General features: G+C 35.6%; 1 protein-coding gene across 12 annotated transcripts in view, besides 1 other annotated feature; it reads left to right on the forward strand.

Annotated features, from left to right (window-relative positions):
* Positions 1 to 17,125, forward strand: part of XRCC4 (X-ray repair cross complementing 4) — a 296,927-nt gene that overhangs the window by 184,194 nt on the left and 95,608 nt on the right. For 2 of the 12 annotated variants that reach the window (XM_047417697.1, XM_017009828.3), the window contains exon 8: positions 2,818 to 4,660. The exons of the other annotated variants lie outside the window; for them this stretch is intronic. In XM_047417697.1, coding sequence (XP_047273653.1) covers positions 2,818 to 2,851 — 34 coding nt within the window. In that variant the 3' untranslated portion in view covers positions 2,852 to 4,660. Of the gene's footprint in view, positions 1 to 2,817; positions 4,661 to 17,125 lie in introns of those variants that run through there. 12 annotated transcript variants of the gene reach the window in all.
* Positions 2,217 to 2,417: a silencer, noted in NCBI's record as "peak5318 fragment used in MPRA reporter construct". NCBI's record gives its function as "represses an SCP1 promoter by STARR-seq MPRAs in K562 erythroleukemia cells {active_cell/tissue: K562}" and the evidence as "EXISTENCE:reporter gene assay evidence [ECO:0000049][PMID:32103011]".

The following is a 17,125-nucleotide window of genomic DNA, read 5'->3' on the forward strand; positions in this document are numbered from 1 at the left end:
TTGTATATTTAACTCTTCACCACTTTCAAAACATGAATATGATTTAGCAATAAAATACTTCCACATTTATTAGCTATTATTGATTAAAATTCATGAAGCAATTAAAAATATGAAATATCCATGAGAAAAGTATTCATTTTTTAAATTTAACTGTTTATAGGTATTTTACAATGTAACATATTAAGTACTTTATAAATACCACAGGGTTATTTTGCATTCTGAGAAAAACTAAATACTTATCTATAAAACAAAATCATAATAATTTTTAAATTTAGTTGAACATTTATTGCAACCCTAAGTCATTGTTATAGTGACAAGGTATAGAAGGAGAGAGAGATATAAAAATAAATCAGAATTTTGATAAGTGCTTTATATGTTATCTCTCATTTAAATCTCACACAAACCCTACAAGATAGGTATTAATTTATCCTTCTTACAGATGAAAAGCAACCAAGGCTCATAAAGATATAGTTCTTTTGCCAGAGCAGCACAGCCGGTGTTTTATTCCAGAGTTTGTGCCTGGTTACTTCCTCAACTGGGTTTATAATCTTTTGAGAGACAAAGATATACACAAATAGTTTTGTGCAGAGCGAAGGGAGTACATCGGTCATAAAGTTCTAAATTGAAATATTTGGAATTGTGTTCCAGATTTGTGAGTGCACTATTATATGTGGGAATGGATTTGGGGCATTTTATTTTATCTGAGAACCACTTTTTTGGGGGGTGGGGAAGCTTTCCTTTTATTTTGACTCAATATACAGAGAGAAATGACTTCAGTTAATACCTGAAATACTCTGCAAAGCTTTTAGAGACTTCAGAACAAATATAAATCACTGTAAAAGGAATACAGATATAAAATAAATATAAATTATTAAATTCACAGAGCTTTATAATGAATTGTTTTATTAATCTTGTAAACTTTCAAAGTATCTAGACAAACTGTCTTTCAAATATAAAAGAAAATTTGTTGTAAAGTTGCTTTTACCAATAAAAATACTAAATAGTATTTCAAGTGAATACTGGATGCCAAAACAACACACACACCTTAGAGTGAGTTTTTTATTTAATTAGCTAGGACTACACAATCTTATCACAGTCTTTTTTTTTTTTTTTTTTTTATACTTTAAGTTTCTGGGTACATGTGCACATTGTGCAGGTTAGTTACATATGTATACATGTGCCATGCTGGTGCGCTGCACCCACTAACTCGTCATCTAGCATTAGGTATATCTCCCGATGCTATCCCTCCCCCCCTCCCCCCACCCCACCACAGTCCCCAGAGTGTAGTATTCCCCTTCCTGTGTCCATGTGATCTCATTGTTCAACTCCCACCTATGAGTGAGAATATGCGGTGTTTGGTTTTTTGTTCTTGCGATAGTTTACTGAGAATGATGATTTCCAATTTCATCCATGTCCCTACAAAGGACATGAACTCATCATTTTTTATGGCTGCATAGTATTCCATGGTGTATATGTGCCACATTTTCTTAATCCAGACTATCATTGTTGGACATTTGGGTTGGTTCCAAGTCTTTGCTATTGTGAACAATGCCGCAGTAAACATACATGTGCATGTGTCTTTATAGCAGCATGATTTATAGTCCTTTGGGTATATACCCAGTAATGGGATGGCTGGGTCAAATGGTATTTCCAGTTCTAGATCCCTGAGGAATCTCCACACTGACTTCCACAATGGTTGAACTAGTTTACAGTCCCACCAACAGTGTAAAAGTGTTCCTATTTCTCCACATCCTCTCCAGCACCTGTTGTTTCCTGACTTTTGAATGATTGCCATTCTAACTGGTGTGAGATGGTATCTCATTGTGGTTTTGATTTGCATTTCTCTGATGGCCAGTGATGATGAGCATTTTTTCACGTGTTTTTTGGCTGCATAAATGTCTTCTTTTGAGAAGTGTCTGTTCATGTCCTTCGCCCACTTTTTGATGGGGTTGTTTGTTTTTTTCTTGTAAATTTGTTTGAGTTCATTGTAGATTCTAGATATTAGCCCTTTGTCAGATGAGTAGGTTGCGAAAATTTTCTCCCATTTTGTAGGTTGCCTGTTCACTCTGATGGTAGTTTCTTTTGCTGTGCAGAAGCTCTTTAGTTTAATTAGATCCCATTTGTCAATTTTGGCTTTTGTTGCCATTGCTTTTGGTGTTTTAGACATGAAGTCCTTGCCCATGCCTATGTCCTGAATGGTAATGCCTAGGTTTTCTTCTAGGGTTTTTATGGTTTTAGGTCTAACGTTCTTATCACAGTCTTGTGGCTACAAGGTGCAGAAAAAGATGTAGCGTATTTCAGCCCAGTATTTCCCCACCTCCATAGAGTGCAGTGCCACTGATAGAGTTTGTATAAGGTATTGTCTTCCTGAACCTACAAAAGCTCAATTCTTTATTTTGTTATGCCGGATGCTTACAGTATTATCCTTGAAGAAATTGCACAATCCATGCACTTTTGTTTTGAGAAGTTATTATAAGCATCAGAATTTTTGTAGCTTCCAAACCAAAGTGACTATATCTATTAAAGCTTTTCAGGGTCCTAAAGAGCTCATTTCCCCACAGTAACCCAGTTGCAGTCACATAGAGTTTAGGCAATATTCACTCTTAATAAAGATTCTTCTTTTTAATGGAGTTTTGAAGAAAGTTATTTGTTTGCTTTCTGATATCTTCTTCCTATGTTTTTATTATTAATGTTATGAATTATAAAAATTAAAACAGTGAGGGGGTCAGAGTCTGGTATTAATTCATTTATTTTTTAATAAAATGAACTTTATTTTATTTGTTTCCCAATTATAAAAGCAGTTCATGCTCATTCCAGAAAAATCAGAAAACCCACAGAAACAAAAGAATGAGCATATGGGAAACTCGTAATCCCACCCACCTGGAGATGACCACCGTTGAGACCTGGTACTCTGTGTCGTTGCAGATCCCTCTCTCTTCCACACTTCATTGACAAAACTAGGCTCACACCAGTTATGCTGTAACCCACAACTTTTTTTTTCTTCCATTTAGCAATCAATATGGTGTAATATGGGAGGAAAATAATATCTTTGGAAGACTATGTTTTAAAAGCAGTTGATTAATTTGAGATATGTAATACTTTATATATAGAGAGAGTTATACATGGAATTACACATATATTACACATACATGTATGTATGTTTTGCCAGAATTTCTCCAGGAAGGCTATAACAATTTGTACCCTCACAACAGTGTTTGCCTTTTGAGTTTTTTGTTGTTGTTGTTTACCAATTCATTTTAGAAATACATATATAGAGAGAAGGAGATGAAATTGCATGTGCCAACTTAAAATGAGGTAGTTGACCATTCCATCTTTTCAAAAAGAATTTATTTTCATACCTTGATTCTTAAAAATTGCTAGCAATGTATTCAAAGTTTAAATCTCAAAGTATTTGAAAATTATGTTTTTTAAATTTAGATGGATAATATAATCATCAAATTCAAATATCCAATTTTTGTAGATTTTTGGTACCTGAACTATAGACTTTTTAAATGTCAAATTAGGTACATAAAATGAATGTTCAATTGCTATATATTTACTCTGGTCATCATGAGCAAACCTCATTTTTTACACAACTTTAATTTTATCATAATGTTTATCTTAGTTGCAAAAGTAAACATGGTGGTGGTTTTAAAACGAGATAGGTTTTTATTAGCTTCACTCTATGTTTACCTAACTGGTCAGGCTGCGGCTCTCACTTTGCTTGCTGCATATTTTGATTAATGGCCCCTTGGCCTTGTTCCAGAGTATACTGATTATGGTCAGTGCACTTCAAAGATGATTTATTAATTGTGTTTGTGACCCAAAATAATTCAATAAAGATTGATCATATGCATTATTATAGATTTGCCAATAAAATCAACAGTTACACTTTAAGAGTATGTTTGCCTGAATAGATTTTTTAAGTATACAAAAAGGACAAAAACTTTTTTTTAATGTATTCTGTATTAAACACAGATTTATGACCTTTTAAAGCATGATTATTAAATGTATCATAGGATTGGTCTTGTAAGTGCATGAATTGTAAGTTCTACTTTAACATAATTTCAAGATAATATGTTTCATTGGAGCTTACATAGGTGTTTTAATAAATATTTCGATGTTTATAACACCCTGGGAACAACCCTTACTACAATTCCCCTAGGCTATTACGTACATTTAAATTTTAAATTACTGACAGACTCAGATGTCTGTTTTTAAAAAAAATGTTTATAGGAGACTTTTATAATCTTTCTGAGTTTTAAGTAAAGGGGATTTATCGTATGTTTCCTATATGTTATACTCTTGTCATTTGAAAGACTTTGATATGTACAATTTCTCTAAATTTGGCTTGATAATAGTTATTGTTTCAGGCATTTTAAGCACTCTACCAACATAGAATAATGTGTAAATATTCACTATACATGGCCGGCAAAGTTATTAATCAAAGGAAATGACTCCCCGCTCATAATTTATGGTTCAGTATTAAAGGAAAAATAGGAGGTATATATTTTTTGGTATACTGTATCCAAAATTTACACTGTAACAGTGAAATTCTGTAACTTAAATCATCTAGTATGATGTGTTACTCAATGTAAAGTAAGTATTTGGTCCGTAGTAAAAATTATGAAATAAAATAAAATATTTTACCCACTAGAAATATAGACTGTTTCATGTTATCTGAAAAGTATAAACTAATTATGCCAAAATAAGAAGATATGAACCCCCAAAGTAACAGATGTCAGCAAATGGAAGAAAGAAATCAGATATGAGAATAAAAGATAAACCTAAGAAATTAAAAATATATAATGATCCATTAGTATTATTCAAGGACTTTGCTTGTTTTTGGAAAATTGTTACTAAAGGACAAAAGCACAAACATGCTTTATTTAAACATCATTATTCAAAAATACTTTTAGTAAAATTTTAGGACATAGTATTTTGTTTAATTGAAAATCTTTTACAATAACTTTGTTTCTAAACAATTTCTAAAACTTATTTCTCTAGATCAAATATGTATATGTTACTTTGTAAAATGTTATTTTTGTAGTAAATGAAGATAAATTATCAGTGTATTGGATAAAGCAGTGTTATCATTACCACCATTATTGAATGTTTACTCCTGTATAAATCACTTCTAGAAATACAGAATAAGAAGTTGATACAGCCTCTATCTTTGTCTTTGTGTATGAATAGAACAATGAAGGAGGAGTAATGAATAGCACACATACGTTGTTTGCTTTTGGGCCACATTACATTTTCTGACAAACTATCTTTAATATGTATATGGCTAACTATAATATGTCTAGATTGTGCCAAATTCCATAGTAGGTATGAAAGCTATGAAATTTCAGAGGAAAGAGAGTTGCTAATCCTTTTGGAGCTATATGGAATAAGGAGATAGGATAAAATCAGAGAAGACTGACCAGGAGGAAGTGTTCTTTGAGTCTGGCTTTGGAGATGAATGTTGTTTCTAAAGGTGTAAACACCTGAGGAGGTGTAACTGGAGTTTGGCTTTGAAGATGAATGTTATTTCTAAAGGTATAAACTGAAAGAAAGAGAGTTCTAATTGAACCCCATCCACAGCATCCCCTTATTTCCTTTAGTAACAGAACTCCTTTCCACCACCTGCTCTATCCACAGGGTTTAACAGTGCATGTGCCTATCAACCTAGAGGCTACAATTCCCAGCCTCACTAGCAGTGATGGGTGGCCATGTGACAAAGCCATTGCTAATGAGATATAAATGGAAATGATATGGGCAATTTGGGGATCTTGCCCATAAAACGATTGGGCATACATTCCTATGTCTCTTTCTTCCTTCTCAGCCATTTAACATTTAAGGAAACCATGGTAGGAGATGGGAAAGCAAGATAGGAGGAATCATGGTCCCTGGACAGTCTCAGGGAGCAGGGCAGCATACCCACAATGGACCACCCAGCTACCTCTGGACTGTCGTGTGAGAAAAATAAATGTCTAGCTTGATTGAAGCCATGGTGGTGGTTTGTTTTTGTTTTGTTCTCTTTGTTAGAGAAATCTGGGATAGTCCCTTACTAAAAAGAAGGGCTATCCTATCAGGGGAACAGATTGTATAAAACAAACGCATGGAGAAAGTCTGAAAGATTGAGGACAAATGCCTGTATCATTGAGGTGCTTAGAAATATGAATAAAGCTGGCAAGGTAGGCAGAACGTAGAGCACAAAGAGACTTATTTATTTGGACTTCTTTTATGAATGCTACAAGAACTGTTAAAAGGTTTTGAACCAAATAATGGCATAATGAACAGAGCTTTACAAAAATTTTCCTGGAAACCATATATTGGATGGAAGGAAAGTTTACGGGTTGGCAGTGAAGATAGGAAGATACTCTAGTAGTAATCCAGGAAGAGTTACCTGAAGAATAGTGACTGTAATTGGTGTAATAGTGAATGTGATTGGAAGGAACAGCAGGGATGAATTGAGAAACATTCGAGGTTGCTATCCTCTTACTACCAGAGATCTGGGAAGCCTCATCAGTTATTGAAAGCTATTTGGTAAACTTAGTCTTTACCAAAATAAATCATCTATCTTACTTTAGAAATCAACCTACCACAAAAGATGGATAAACAAAACAAGTCATGGGGATTGACTTCTCAAAAGACTGGAAAAGCTCCCTTTTCCATGCTGCTATATTTATCTACTCAAATATATATATTGTGATGCATTGATATTATATCATTTTACATCATTTCATTTATTTCATTTTTGAACTTAATTGCACCTATAAGTAATTTATCAGCAAGCTTTCTTCAAATTGTGCTCTAAGAAGGGTTACTCAGGAAGGTGTATTGTAGCCTCTGAAAACCTTCCTTGTCATAGAGGTTCTTGTTTGCTCCAACCACAGGAAATATTTCCTCTGGACATGTGTTTTGATTGTGATCTGAAGGCATGGGGTTTCTCTTACTTGGGGTTATATGACATTCTCCTTATGGAATACGGAGAAAATCAGCTTTTTCACTGACACATTCTGTTATGGATGTAGTGCTGATTTTAAAGAGTATTTGCCCTAGGACCATGATATATGATGTTCTAGAAATTTCCCAACTTTAGAGAATAAGATATGAATTGAACAAATCAATTTAGCAAACCAATGAAGTAATGAGATATTAATACAAAACCAAATGGACCTATATATCCCATTTCAAGGAAATCATGAAAATGATAATTTTCTATTGAAGTTTATCTTGGGTTAAGCAATAAATGGCACCATATAAAACAGGAACTGTTGGAGAGCATTTTATCTGTTCTCAACTGCTATGTGGGCAAATAAGGCAGATGAAAATCTCAGTGTTCTCACTGAATAATAAGATGGTCTTTCGGGTCTCAAGTATATTTTTGGAGTCTTCCATCTAAGCTGTCAGGAACATACACCAATAACTTCCAGAAGAGGAAAACAAACCCATCATAGGACTGAAAATTTGGCATTACATATTATCCTTAGACAATGGTTATAGGCCTCTGCCTTTTATCTCCACCTTAATATAGTAATGATGTACCTACTGTGTGCCAAGCACTGTGTCCTATGCTGGGACTATAGCACCAAACGAAAGAGACCAGGTGCTTTCCCTCAAGGAGGATAGGATGTAATTTCAGAAACACACCAATAAATAATTACAGTACAATGTGATAATGAGGCCAATTGGTGTAATAGTTCCAAGTACATCTAGAATGCCCAATTAAAATGAATAGTAGAGGGAGGCACAAATAACAAAGAAAAAATTTGCTACTCTTTCTCATTAACCAAGGATGGATGCACAGATAAGTAACTCTAGGTGAGAAAATATATTACATTTGATAGAGTTCAAAAAATAACCTGAAATTGGGAATTCAGTAAAAATAGACAGTTACAAAAAAGAAAATATTATACACTAGCATAACCTAACACATAGTAGATATTCAATAATTACCAAGTAAATGAAGTAATAAATAGGCCTTTTGTATAATACGGGAAAGAAAATATTTAGTAGATCTAACCCAGCGGAATCTTCCCCTTTTTGGAAAATGGTACTACATCTGTACCAGAGGTCCCCAACCTTTTTGGCACCAGGGACTGGTTTTGTGGAAGACAATTTTTCCATGGACCTGGGGTGGGTGGGGGGATGGTTTGGGGGTGATTCAAGCACATTACATTTATTGTGCACTTTATTTCTTTAATTATTACATTGTAATATATAATGAAATAATTATACAACTCACCATAATGTAGAATCAGTGGGAGCCCTGAGCTTGTTTTCCTCACCTCACAAATGGTCCCATTTGGGGGTGATGGGAGACAGTGACGGATTAGCAGGCATTAGATTCTCATAAGGAGCACACAACCTAGATGCCTCGCATGCACAGTTCACAATAGGATTTGTGCTCCTGTGAGAATCTAATGCTGCTGCTGATCTGACAGGAGGTGGAGCTCAGGTGGTAATGTGAGTGATGGGAGGCGGCTGTAAATACAGATGAAGCTTACTTACTCACCCACCACTCACCTACTGCCTTTCAGCCCACTTCCTATTAGGCCATGGACCAGAGGTTGGGGACCACTGGTCTATACAGCAACTAAAGCCTTAAATTTAAGAGTTATCTTTAGCTTCTTCTTTTCTCTCATGCCTAGCTCTACTCCATTTGTCAGTCTCATACTTCATGCTTCTAAAATATCTTAGAATTTAATCTCATGCTTTCTACTTCTGCTGCCACTAACCTAGTCTAAGCCATAATCCTTTTGCATGCATGACTGCAGCCTACTCCCTTTTTTTCCCATTTCCACTTCTCTGACCTCTAAACTGTTTTCCACATAGTGAACTTCTGAAAACACAAATTGGATTATATCTTTATACTTCTCCGCATGTCTCCAGACTTTCCATCCCTTTCCTAGAGTATTCCAGTGCCTTCCCATTGTACTTAGTCTAAACTCATTACCATAGGTTACATGCTCTGAATGACCTTGCCCCTGCATCATCCTGAAACAAATTGTGGGATTTATTCATTTTTTCGAAAAAAAAAATATATACATATATATATGTATATATTTTTTTTTTGAGACAGAGTCTCACTCTGTCACCCAGGCTGGAATGCAGTGGCAAGAGCTCAGCTCACTGCAATCTCTGCCTCCTGGGTTCAAGCGATTCTCCTGCCTCAGCCTCCTAAGTAGCTAGGATCATAGGCGCCCGCCACCATGCCCAGCTAATTTTTGTATTTTTAGTAAAGATGGGGTTTTGCCATGTATAGGAAGACAGAAGGGGTTTTATTTAGCCCATTTAATCAACTACTAACTAAAATGCATTCCTGGATTGTCTTTCACAGGCACCATGAACCTGATTGAAGTTTTCTGTTGGTTGAAGTTACCTGAAATTTTGAAAATTCTTATTTCTCTTGACATTTATATTATTTTACTTAATTGCTTACTGCCTTTGGCATTTTTTGAAACTTGAAAATTATTGTAATCCTGTCCTACATTTGAAATAATTTATAATGATAAGGAATTGAATCCAGCAACTCATTCATTCTGAATGTTTGGAATATCATAGATTATTATGTACTCTAAGAATCCTAAATTTATTACTAATTATACGCCCATTTGAATTACAAGCAATAAGGGAAATAATAATGTCAATCTAAAATAGCATAAAGTCATTCTTATTTTTGTGTTTTATTTTGTCTACTTGTTCCACAAAAGTATTGTTATAATATTGGGATGGAATTTATTAATTATCTAATCCAAAATAATAATACATGGCATGTAACCATTATATAAATGCTTTGTGGGACAGTAAGACATATTACTTTAAATGAAACCCTATTTTACCTGGTAATGTCTACTCTTTGACCACAGTTTTGCCTTCTGTATTATATCAGATAAATCTTCTACATTAAATTTACTAATATAAAATAGAGTCATGTTGAGTACATAAAATTTATGCAAATGCATCATATTCTCTCTATTCCCCTCTCCTACATAAAAAGTGGGAGGGAAGAGAGAGAGAGAAAAGGGAACAATTTAAATAGTGCTGGGCATTCTAGTCCAGCATATGCCCAGGAGTGAAAATGAAATGGGAAACATATATCTCCTTTCCCTAGCTGTTTGAGTTCCCGCTATCTTTCTATTATGTGAGCACTGCATTTAAAGATAAACCTTTACATGCAACTAAACACAAGGCAACCATGTAACATTTTCTAGTGCTTCATGGAAAACAAATAGCCATAAATCCTAAAATAGGAGGAAACCTGTTGATCCTGGGGTGCTGGACCAATTGAAATTTGTGTAACATGCTGGACTATGGTATTTTCCTAAGGATTTTTCAGGATAATTTGATTTTCACAGTAAGACCTACAATTAAAACTCTATCACTAAATTAGATATAATTCTATTTAACTCGAAGACCATTTTATACTCCGGAGTTTTTCTTCTGCAAGCTAAAAGAGCCTAAGTTTTTAACATTATTGTGTATAATATTGTTGTCACATATCAGTCTCTTATTTGGATTTGCTTTTCACTGAATGCATTTAATTTTCCAGTGTTCCATTAAAGTCATACCCCCCCAAACCCTGTTTATATCTCAGACATGGTGTGGTCTTTACAGAGAATAATGGGATACTACACTTCTGTTAGTGTGGGGTGTTCCCTTGTTGTTACACCTTTTTATTATTATTATGTATTATACTTTAAGTTCTGGGGTACATGTGCGGAACATGCAGGTTTGTTACATAGGTACGTATACATGTGCCATGGTGGTTTGTCACACTCATCAACCCATCATCTAGGTGTTACGCCCCGTATGCATTAGGTATTTGTCCTAATGCTTTCCCTCTTCTTTCCCCCCACCCCACGACAGGCCACAGTATGTGATGTTCCCCTCCCTGTGTTTATGTGTTCTCATTGCTTAACTCCCACTTATGAGTCAGAACATGCAGTGTTTGGTTTTCTGTTCCTGTTAGTTTGCTGAAAATGATAGTGTCCAACTTCATCCATGTCCCTGCAAATGGCATTAACTCCTTAATTTTTATGACTGCATAGTATTCCATGGTGTATATGTGCCACATTTTCTTTATCCAGTCTGTCATTGATGGGCATTTGGGTTGGTTCCAAGTCTTTGCTATTGTAAATAGAGTTGCAATAAACATAAGTGTGCATGTGTCTTTATAGTAGAATGATTTTTAATCCTTTGGGGATATACCCAGTAATGAGATTGCTGGGTCAAATGGTATTTCTGGTTCTAGATCCTTGAGGAATCACCACACTGTCTTCCACAATGGTTGAACTAATTTACACTCCCACCAACAGTGTCAAAGCATTCCTATTCCTCCACATACTCTCCAACATCTATTGTTTCCTGACTTTAATGATCACCATTCTTACTGGAGTGAGATAGTATCTCATTGTGGTTTTCATTTGCATTTCTCTAATGGCCAGTGATGATAAACTTTTTTTCATATGTCTGTTGGCTGCATAAATGTCTTCTTTTGAGAAGTGTCTGTTCATATCCTTTGCCTACTTTTTGATGGGGTTGTTTTATTCTTGTAAATTTGTTTAAGTTCCTTGTAGATTCTGGATATTAGACCTTTGTCAGATGGATAGATTGCAAAAATTTTCTCCCATTCTGTAGGTTGCCTGTTCACTCTGATGATAGTTTCTTTTGCCGTGCAGAAGCTCTTTAGTTTAATTAGATCCCATTCGTTAATTTTGGCTTTTGTTGCAATTGCTTTTGGTGTTTTAGTCATGAAGTCTTTGCCTATGTCCTGAATGGTATTGCCTAGGTTTTCTTCTAGGGTTTTTATAGTTTTAGGTTTTACGTTTAAGTCTTTTAATCCATCTTGAGTTGATTTTTGTATAAGGTGTAAGGAAGGGATCTAGTTTCAGTTTTCTGCATATGGCTACCCAGTTTTCCCAGCACCATTTATTAAATAGGGAATCCTTTCCCCCTCACTTGTTTCTGTCAAGTTTGTCACAGATTGGATGCTTGTAGATGTGTGGTGTTATTTCTGAGGCCTCTGTTCTGTTGCATTGGTCTATATATCTGTTTTGGTGCCAGTACCATGCTGTTTTGGTTACTGTAGCCTTGTAGTATAGTTTGCAGTCAGGTAGCATGGTGCCACTAGCCTTGTTCTTTTTGCTTAGTATTGTCTTGGCTATATGGGCTCTTTTTTTTTTGTTCCGTGTGGCCGTTACACCTTTTATTCCTGAGTTATCACTACTTTTCTAGTTGTAGATACTGCTGCTCCTGTGTCTGGGCTCACCACTATGTGAGCAAGCTACTTAATGAGTCTACACCTCAATATTATAATTTCTAAAATGGGAATAGCAATACCTACCTCGTTAAAATTAAAGACATGACAATTATATTATGCCAGGCACATGATAAGTGTTCAGTATTGGTAAATGCCCCAACTCTTGCTCATGTTCATTCTGTTTTCCCTTTCCAGTACTCAACTGTCTAGGTTTGAATGTAAACTGTCTTCCAAGTCAGGTTAATTACTTGTGGAAAAATTACACTACAAAAGCATTTGTCTTTGTTATGTTTAATAATTTATAATCTAATTTTTATCATCTGAAATTCCAGAATAATTACAAATTATCAAGTGTTGTGTTATGTAACTTTTGTACCTTCCCTGCTCATGCCATGTACTTTGTGTATTTTGAAATCATAAGCATCTTTTCAACAAATATTTGCTGAGTACCTAATGTGAGCCAGACAGTGACTTAGGCACAGAGGATAGAAGACATGGTGGGGAGCAAAACAGCTGAGATTATGTTTTAGTGGTGTGAAACAAGTGAAAAAGAATAAATAAACATGGACACATTGTAAAATAATAAAGAAATATGCAGATAATTAAGGTGATGCAAAAGATAGTGATGAGGTGGTTCCTTTTTATATAGAATGGTCAGGAAATTGGCATTTAAGCTGAGCCTAAATGACAAGCAGACATCCTGCAAAGATTGAAAGAAAGGTAATGCAAAGGCCCTCAGGTGAGCAAATCCATTGTATTGAAGGAGTAGAAATGTGTACCATGTAGGGGAATGAGAGGGAGTGGTCTGTGATGTATGTATCAGTGAAATAAGCTTTGAGGGCCAATGGTCTTTAAATTTTATTCAAAGTATAATGGTAAATTTTAAGGGCAATGACATGGACTGATGTTGTTTTTAAAAGATTGCTATTATAAGTATGTGGAAAATGGATTTGGAAGTAAGGAGTTATCACTGTGTGGAAAATGGATTTGGAAGTAGGGAGCTTGTGATAACAGACAGATCAGTTAGGAGGTTTTAACAGTAGTCCAAGTGGAAGTTGGTCTTAGAGTAGGCTAATAGAGGACCTAGTGAAGAATTCTTAGGTCATGCATATGTTTTAGCAGTAAAGTTCCCAAGACTTGCTAGTAGGTTTGATTTAGAATAAGGGAGAGAGAGGAATCAGGAGGATTCCTATATTTTAGCTTGAAAAACTGGGTAAATGGTGCAGCTTTCAGACATGGGAAGAACTCAGAAAGAAACAGCTTTGCAGGTCGTGAAAATAGATGGTTCTGTTTTGGCTAGGTTAGGTTTTTTTTTTTTTTTTGAGACGGAGTCTCGCTCTGTCGCCCAGGCTGGAGTGCAGTGGCGGGATCTCGGCTCACTGCAAGCTCCGCCTCCCGGGTTCACGCCATTCTCCTGCCTCAGCCTCCCAAGTAGCTGGGACTACAGGCGCCCGCCACTACGCCCGGCTAATTTTTTTGTATTTTTAGTAGAGACGGGGTTTCACCGTTTTAGCCGGGATGGTCTCGATCTCCTGACCTCGTGATCCGCCCGCCTCGGCCTCCCAAAGTGCTGGGATTACAGGCGTGAGCCACCGCGCCCGGCCCAGGTTAGGTTTTAGAAACTTAACAGACATCACAGCAGAGATACCAAGATATATATGAATCTAGAATTCCTGCGACAAATGAGGTATGGAGATAAAGATTGGAGAGTCCTAGACATTTTGGATTTATGACCATGATCTTAAAGTGAGCACAGACAGCCTGAGTGGCTGTTTCTCTTCAGCAATGTGTGGATGGTTCCTAATGTGTAGATTTACACAGCAAATGCAATGAAAGTAAAGAAAGGGATTATTGTAGTGTCAGATTTACATGCATGATTCTTTAATGGATTGTAGCATTTGTGGAAAAATGAATACAGTTGGTATTTGAATAACTATTTTGTTGATTATACCTGGATTTGATACCCAGGTGATTCCACCCTGGGCTCTTAGCTCAATTTTAGTATGATCCCAGAACTGGATTTAAATACAGACAGTCCCTGATTTACAATGTCTTGACTTAGGATTTTTTGACTTTATGATGGTACAAAAGCAATATACATTCAGTAGAAACTCTACTTTGAATTTGAATTTTGGTCTTTTCCTGGACTAGCGATATGTGGTACAATACTTCTCAAGATGCTGAGCCAAATCATCTAACACAGAGCCTATTTTAATAATAAAGTGTTGAATAACTCATGTATTTTATTAAATACTGTACAGAAAGTGCTCTGAGCATTTCTAAGATAGGTTAGGCTAAGCTATGATGTTTGGTAGATGGTATGGTTTCAATACTTGTTTCTTCCAAAATCCATGATGAAATTTAATCCCAAATGTGTCAGTATTGAGAGGTGAGACCTTTAAGAGGTGATTGGGTTATGAGGGCTTTACCCTAATGAAGGGATTAATCCATTCATTTATGAATGGATTAATGCATTAATGGGTTATCATGGGAATGAGGCTGATGGCTTTATATGAAGAAGAAGTGGAAGAAGAGAAATCTGAGCTGGCATGCTCTGCCCCCTTGCCATGTGATGCCCTGAACAATCTCAGGATTCTACAGAGGCTTCACCCACACAAATGGTCTCTCCAGATGTGGCCCCTCAACCTTAGACTTCCCAGGATCCAGAACTTTAATAAAGAAATTCCTTTTCTGTATAAGTTACCGTTTCCTATTTAATATACCTAACCTAGTGTCTTTGTGTGTTTTCTGTTGCTTATAACAGAATCTTGTTATAATTTGTTGCTTATAACAGAATCTTGTTATAATTTGTTGCTTATGACAGAATCTTGTTATAATTTGTTGCTTATGACAGAATCTTGTTATAATTTGTTGCTTATAACAGAATCTTGTTATAATTTGTTGCTTATAACAGAATCTTGTTATAATTGTTTACTTATGAATTTTCAATTTGTGATGGTTTTATTGGGATGTAACCCATCATAAGTGAAGGAGCATCTATATATTTAGTATTGGGGGGAAGTTCTAAGAGGACATAATTTATTTATTTAAATCACACTTTATATTGAACTCATCTATCTATGTAGAATCAGTGAATCAAAAGAATTTGTTGGGAACCTTTCAAGTTGTAGATTCTGATTTCATAGTTTAGTCAGGCAGAGAAAACAAAGATATATGAAACCATAATAGAGCAATTTTTTGGGTAACTGTGACAGTCATTAGTTCTGTTCACCAAATATTTCCAGCTCTCTGCCTTCTGGGCACATGATGAAATTGCACTTCACAGCTATCGTTGAGTAAGACTATATTAGTTCTTGCCAGCAAGTTTTGATTAAAAGTGACATGTGTAACTTCTGAGCCAGAGAACTTTCTTCTGCCATAGCAACTGGCAAAGTTGGTGGCTGCCCTGTCATCCTGGATCCTGGAATAAGGAGATAGCACGGAGTGGAGCCCTCAGGCCACCCGTGATGGACATGCAACAGAATGAAAAATTAAAGCTTTGTCATTTCAATCCACTGACATGTTGGGGTATTTGTTACTGTATATAACCCGACCTATTCCAACTGATGGGTTACAGAGACATCTAAATATAGCATATTTTTAGCACCATCACACTCCTATGTCCATTTAAAAATAAGAAACTATAAAACAACATCGGTTGAAAGTTTAATATCATTACCATGAAGTGAATATTGACACCTTCACTGTAAGCAGAATAGTCAAAATAAACCATTGTTTAGCTACCTTGTTACAAATTTACAAGTTTGTAACACATTTCTAAATGTTATAATCTGGAAGTTTTGTTTTCTGTCTGTACCAATGTGATTGTCTAGTACAGAAACTTTAGGATAACTATACATTCTTTGATGATTTTGCAAAAATAATTTAATATCTTGTTTAAGAAAAATACAGCATTTTCATTTAATATCTTGTTTAATAAAGAAAACAATATCTTGTTTAATAAAAGCATTTAATATTTTGTTTAATAAAGAAAAATACATCATTTTCAAGCAGGTAGTAGGAGTAGGTTTTGTTATTTACAGAGCTATTCAACAAACGCTCTTTTATTAGCTCATCAATTTGCCAGTCAGACAAATGGAGTCAAGCTCCCATCCAGGAGGTTAGGAGAGAAAACACTCAGATTTCACATCACTTCACCCCACCTAATGACTTCACTTTCCATTTGACTTGTTGTCTGGCTCTGTTAATTATTGAACTAAAAAAATGTACTAACCAGATTGAAGCGGTAGTCTTCACTCCCACTAAATATGCAGAGATTAACCACAATGCAGATGATCTGGAAACATAAATTAATTTTGGTCATAGAATTTTTGAGGTAGAAGTATAGTAAGAAAGACTTTTCTTTACTAAATATTTAGTGGTCTCTGTCTTAGTCCATTTTTACTGCAATAATAAAACACCACAGTCTGGGTCATTTATAGATAATAGAAATTTACTTCTCACAGTTTTGAAGGCTGAGAAGTCCAAGATCAAGGTTCTGGCATTGTGTCTGATGAGGGCTTTCATGCTGCATCTTCACAAGGTTAAAAAAGACAAATGCTATGTCTTCCCATGATGGAAGGCAGCAGCGCAAAAAAGCGCCTAAACTAGTTTTCTCTAGCCCCTTTTTTAACTGTACAAAAAATAAATAAGTTAACATTATTAAGTTACTACTTCAGTCCTTATGTTGTTTTTTAAAAATAATCAGTTTGAGGCCAGGCGCAGTGGCTCATACCTGTAATCCTAGCACTTTGGGAGGCCGAGGTGGGTGGATTACCTGAGCTCAGGAGTTTGAGACCAGCCTGGGCAACATGGCGAAACCCTGTCTCTACTAAAATACAAAAGAAATTAGCTGAGCGTGGCGACGTGTGCCTA

The sequence above is a fragment of the Homo sapiens genome, chromosome 5 (assembly GCF_000001405.40).
Source record: "Homo sapiens chromosome 5, GRCh38.p14 Primary Assembly".
Lineage (NCBI taxonomy): Eukaryota > Metazoa > Chordata > Mammalia > Primates > Hominidae > Homo > Homo sapiens.